The following is a 6,201-nucleotide window of genomic DNA, read 5'->3' as shown; positions in this document are numbered from 1 at the left end:
TGAGCCTTTGCCCAGCATTTATTTGCAAGACTGCAGGACAAACAAAACATCACACAGGGAAAGAAGGGGGGTTAAAAAAAAGAAAGCTCCTCATATTATCTCTCAAGGTCCTCCCCATTTTGACAAAAGGTTGCATCCTCTTACCCTGTCTCCTACAGTCAGAGGCAAACACAAGCTCTGTTCTAACACAGGGATTGGGTTTAGATAGTAGATCTAATCTGACCTGTGTCTGCCTCTAGGGCAGCTTAGAAAAAATACCTGGTGAGTTGTTAAATTTTTGACATTTTTACTACTAACTCTGCTATTGACTAAACAAGGAGTAATTACTGTAGCAACTTCCAGTATAAATTGTTAAGAATCATCCAATCAGCTGGTTGCACCTATCATAGTGAGGGGTGGAGCTGTGAGCTTTTAATTAGTACATGCCATTCTGAAAATTAAAAATCACCTCAGAGAAAATAGCAAAGACTTAACAAGTCATAACCTTTCCTCCAAGTGAATGAACTGAAAATAGAGTAAATAATCTAATGCTTTGCACCAAGTCACACAGAACCCAAATCTTTGTTCTGGAAGAGAACATAGAAATTATCATTTTCAAGTGCTCATTTTATAAACAAATAAACTGATTTTCAGAGAGAAAAATAAGCTGGGCGTGGTAGCTCACGCCTGTAACCCCAGCACTTTGGGAGGCCAAGGCAGGAGGATCCCTTAAGCCCAGGAGTTTAAGACTAGACTGGGCAACACAGTGAGACCCCTACTCTACAAAAATATATTTATATATTAGCCAGGCATGGTGGCACACACCTGTAGTCCTGGCTACTTGGGAGGTTGAGATGGGAGGATCGCTTGAGCCTAGGAGTTTGAGACTGCAGTGAGCAGTGAGCTATGGTTGTACCACTGCACTCCAGCCTGGGTGACAGAGTGACACCCCATCTAAAAAAAAAAAGAAAAAGAAAAAGAAATGTGACATGCCATGCACAGTAGGTGAGTGGGTTTCCTGGCTCCTTCCTAGGGGCTGTGAGTGATGATGACCTTAACTTAAGATCAGAGCGTGATTCTAGTACATTCAAGAGTCCAGAGATAGTGACACACAACATTTGAAATCAGGACTGTCCCAGAAATCCTAGGTCACCAAAATTAGACCATACTCTGCTGTTTGGTAACTGGAGCCAAGCCTGGAGCAGAAATCACCTTGAGGAATCTCATTCTCTCACCCATCAAGCATGATGGCATCCTGGGCTAGGTTTCTTGCCCTGCAGACCACCCAACTCCTCTGCTACACAGCCATCCAAAATCTCACCTTGGTTCAGAGCCGATGAGCCTTCATGGCTTGCCTTTCTCCTGAGGTCACAGTTTTGTCCCAAACCTTTCCAGATGAAGCAGTTAGTAGTTTTCTAACTGCAGGATTACAAAGGTGCTTCCAGTGTTTCTGCGAATGTCTGTCTTATTATTGAACCCATTTTCCCCAAGAACAAGGAGAAAAAAGCTATTAGCAAGGAAGATCCTACTGCACATGTGTGTCTATAAATTCTACTTACCACATTGGATGCTTGACTCAGAGCAGACAATGGTTCCATCATTATAACTGTAATGCTTTGTAGCATTTTCACCTGATTCGTACACAGCATTCATAAAGAGGTCTACATATTTTATTAGCTCACTAGCTATCTACATACCTCTGTATCTTCTATGAAATGCACCTCATTTCTACATTTTGCATTTTTATTTCTGGAGTACAAAATGTGGTAATAGGTTATATCAACGTACAAAAACTGGATGAGAATTGGATATTCACTTTAGACATATCTGGTTTGAAATAAACTACTTAATTTTACAAGGAAGAGGAGGAAAAAAGAGGTTAAAGCATTTCAGACCAATGAACACATCATATTACCAGGTGGTCTTGAATGCGTGTTCCCTTGTGTTTCTCGGGTTGACATGTTTTTGTTTAAATTATGGAATGTATCTATTACACACTTATGTCATCAATCCCTCAGAGGATCAGTACAGATTTCTGTAACTATTGGGGGAAGTGCAGGGAGCTTAAATAGCACACTGGTTCGGCCTCCCTCCAAGTGTGTCCCAAGGAACACAGGCAAAGAGAAGAGAGGGACTCCTTAGCCAAATAACTTGGGAAATAACTAGATTAAATAAAATAGATTTCGTAAGTACTCGAAGAGCCTTATTATGTTAAGGTCATTATGAATCACCACGAAGTAGCTCTATGTACACCCTTTCTCTAACTTTGTTGGTCATGGGTTTCTTTTTTAAGGAGTATCTCATGGGCCTAATGCTCTTCAGATTGAAAGTAATAATAATGATGATGATGACCATGTCTGAGCTCTTACTCTAAACCAGGCACTATACAAAGCACTTCACATTGTATCTCATTTAACCTTTCCAATGACCCTCATCCATAGGTCCTACTATATCCTCATTTTACAGAAGAGGAAGCAGAGGCTCCGAGAGGCTAAATAGCAAGTCTAAAGTCACACAGCCAGCGAGTCACAGAATCAGAATTCAAGTCATTTTGACTCCAGAATTCATATTCTTGACTCTTGGCCACCCTATTATACTATTGTATGTAGTATATATATCCTCACTAATCAAATCAGGAAAATAACCCATTCCTTTGCCAGTTCTGGCTGAGCTTGGATGAAAACAATTGCTTTGAGAGGCGGGAAAAGAGGGAAAAGGAGAGATGAAGGTAAGAAGGAGGCATTGTTTGGCTCAGATTAGAACAAAGTGATTAAAGCAGTCATTACTGCTATTTTGAGAGAGTAAAAGCCTGCACAGAACAATTCCCCATTGACAGGATGGGAAAAAGAATCAGTCTCTGTTTTTGACAGGTACCTGGTAGATTAGTATTTTTTCTAAGAAGGTGCAAAAGGAAAGTAAGAAGGTTGTTTATTTTGTGCAAATATTTCACATTGCCAAGGTGACCAGAGAGACTTCCCAGCCACAAAACCACAAGAAACCAAGGGAAACGAATGTAGCCCAAAAGGTAGATTTCAAAGTGAAACTAAAATGTTTAAAAAGTACACTAGAAAGGGGGAAGGCTGTAGCACAGATAAAAAAAGAATGTCATTTTTTTTAAGAAAGTTTTTAACTTCAAATGAAGCCAAAGTTTCTTCTAGAATCTATATTACCTATAGGGCCAATCCCTCGACTACAAACCCAGGAATGAAATTGTCGACAAAATAGAGGAGGAAGAAAAAAAACTGCCTAGTACAATTTAATTGAGTTTCCTGGAGGGACAACCTGAAACCAACCAACTTCTCCATACCCTGTGAAGGAATCTGAATCTCGCAAGTCCAGTTGAGGAAAAAAAAAAAAATGGCAAGCAAGTCCTTCTGCTGCTGCATTTTAATATCACTGGAGTTTCTTTAAAGCTTCGGAAGTCTCTTCAGGAAGCCAGGAGCATTCAGAAATTTTAAAACAGGGAGTACTTCTCCTGTCACTCTTTTTCTTTTTTTCACCTATTTAAATTAATTCTATTGCTCACCCAAAGTTCAGGATTCCTGGCCTAGAAAGTAAATTGAGTTTGCGTGTCCTTTGAAGGATTGGGAGAGACAAGGAAAGAGGTAGCCACCCAAGGCTGAAGCCCCAAGGATCCTGGAGAGTGAGTGCGGCCCCCTCCCCACCTCCCACTCTCTGATGGAGTGCAGGTGCCTCCTGTCCTCCTGCCCCCTGCAGGCTCCTGAAGGTCTCACCAGGCCAAGGGTCATCTGTGATCTGAGCAGAAGTACTTATAAGGGATTTTTCAGCCTGCTGATTTAGTAGTAAAAAGCCCATTTTTTTTTCTCATCACTGCCTTGGAGCCAGCGTTTTAGAGAAAAACCAAAGTTTTTAGCCATTCACATTCAGGAAAAAAAAAAAAAAAACAAGAAAAGCTAACTCCTGAGTGACAGCGTCCCAGGGGCAGGCTGTCAGCTGGCAGTAACTGGTGAATTGCAGCTTGGTGCTGGCTGAATTAGACAGCCTGATGGTGGACTGGGGAGGCTGGGGAAGTGGTTGCTGGGGATTCCAGAAAAGTTTGCATGCTCTATCTGATCACATATTTATTACAGGACCAATTTGGTGAAGCCTGAGATACCTCAGTTCAAATCAGAAATTAAACCTGTTTTCAAAGAAGCCCAAGCCTCCAACTCTTTAAACCTTTACCTCTAAGTATAGGCCTCCAAAAACTCACCTAAGCTATAACAGCATCAACAGGGCAATATCTTTTTCTAGACCTATGTCCCCAAGCCTCTGCTGGGACAGAATTAAAGAGCGAAGTTAGATAAAACTAGCTTAGGGGTTTTTGCAGCTGTGCCCACCATGTTGGCAAACACCCCCTCAGGCATCCAACTAATATTCACTGCTACTTTAGGAAAGACAATGCTGGGTACTAGGAGATAGAAAAGTAAAACCCTACAATTTCTGCAGCCCCTGGAGCTTACAATATAGTCAAGAAGAGAGAGAGGGGCATAATGGGAAGAAAGGACCCTCGATGGAAATGTGAAATCTAGATGCAGAAACTCACAAAAAGATTTGATCACGAACACTGGAGTTTCAGAATGATATCGATGATTTTTGAAGGTTACAGATTTTCTATTCAAGTGTTCAAGTACAAAGTAAGCCCAAAGCTGAAAACCTAAGAAGATCATAATCTGTCAAAAAAAAATGTGTCTTTTCCTTTTCTTTTCGGTGTTTCAGACATCTGATCAAAGGGACAGAAGAAGAAGGTGAGAAATCATCATGAAGGCTCTAGAAATTGACTCAAAAAACTTGGGTTGCTTTCTTGAAACAGCCAAATTTCATAATCGTTTTTATAAAAACTCACTTCATCCCATGTCTAAATCCATAAAGTGATCGCAAATTACACTTGGCACCACGTCCCTCACTAGGATGTCGACAGAATTAATGAGATAGTGTCTATACAATGCTTTGAGCTGGTTGGAAGGTGTCACAGAAGCTAAGTCAGAAATACTATTATCACTGAAGCTCATCTAATCCAGTGAGCTTCAGTGGAGCCGTTAAGTACCTCCGTTCTCTCTTCAAATCTTTCTCTCCCTAACTTTTAAAGGTTGGCATGACTGATTCATCTAACATTACTGAAAGCAACCAACAAAATGGAAAAGAAAAGCTTAATGCAAATCCTTCTGTGTTTCTGCACGAGTTTATGCTGAGCAAAGTGTACAACCTACTTCCTGCCCTCCCTGCAGCTCAGGGCCCTATCTGGTTATGTGGCTGTAACTTATCCTCACTCATACAAAAATTATTCATTTTCCACTCTGAGTCAGAACCTTTTGGTCTCCAAATGTACCGACAAAAATATATCGACTCAAGCTATTTTATGTTTGGGATGTTTTCCCCGTGAACACACATTTATCCCTTTCGCCCTGTGTCCCTTCAGAAATGAAGCGCTTCATTTCCATCTCATTGATTTCTACGTATTTGAATATTGCTCCATTAGGAATATGGATATTTTTCCCCTTGTGTAAGAGTTATACTGGATTCCCAATTAATTATAAGCTCCTTGGAAGCAGGAATTGACTTGGGACTTTCCCTTGATCCTGATTTTTTTCTCCTTTTTTCTCTGAGACAGGATCTTGCTCTGTCACCCAGGCAAGAGTGCATTGGCATAATCACAGCTCACTGCAGCCTTGATCTCCCAGTCTCAGGTGATCCTCCCACCTCAGTCTCCCAAATAGCTGGGATTACAGACATGCACCACCATACCAGGCTAATTTTTTGTAGAGACAGGTTTCACTATGTTTCCCAGGCTGGTTTCAAACTCCTGGACTCAAGCAATCCTCCTGCCTTGGCCTCCCAAAGTGCTGGGATTACAAGCGTGAGCTGCTGTGCCCTGATTTTTGGTTTATCATTTGTATCTGTCTATTTTATTGTATTCTTCTTAAAAGATTCTCTCTCTTTTTGGAGATTTAGGTCTGGGATGATGAGACTCACCAGCGATGCTTTTTGGACGTACATGAGCACCTGGTGTCAACCCTAGGGTTAGAGTGGGCACCAGGGAGGGCACTAGGTTTGTCCTTTATGTCACCTCTCTCTGTGTTGCAAATTTGCACATTTTACACAGGAGGCGAATGCTGCTCCAAGATGGTTTTACAAGTTAAGGATGTGGAAAATACCCACATCCTATTGCAATTACTGACCAAATGAACTCTTCAACTGAGTCAACCATTCCACAGGAAAAAA

This window comes from Homo sapiens, chromosome 10, assembly GCF_000001405.40.
Source record: "Homo sapiens chromosome 10, GRCh38.p14 Primary Assembly".
NCBI classification, from domain to species: domain Eukaryota; kingdom Metazoa; phylum Chordata; class Mammalia; order Primates; family Hominidae; genus Homo; species Homo sapiens.
The sequence above is the reverse complement of the archived record's forward strand: the minus strand, read 5'-3'. Positions refer to the sequence as shown.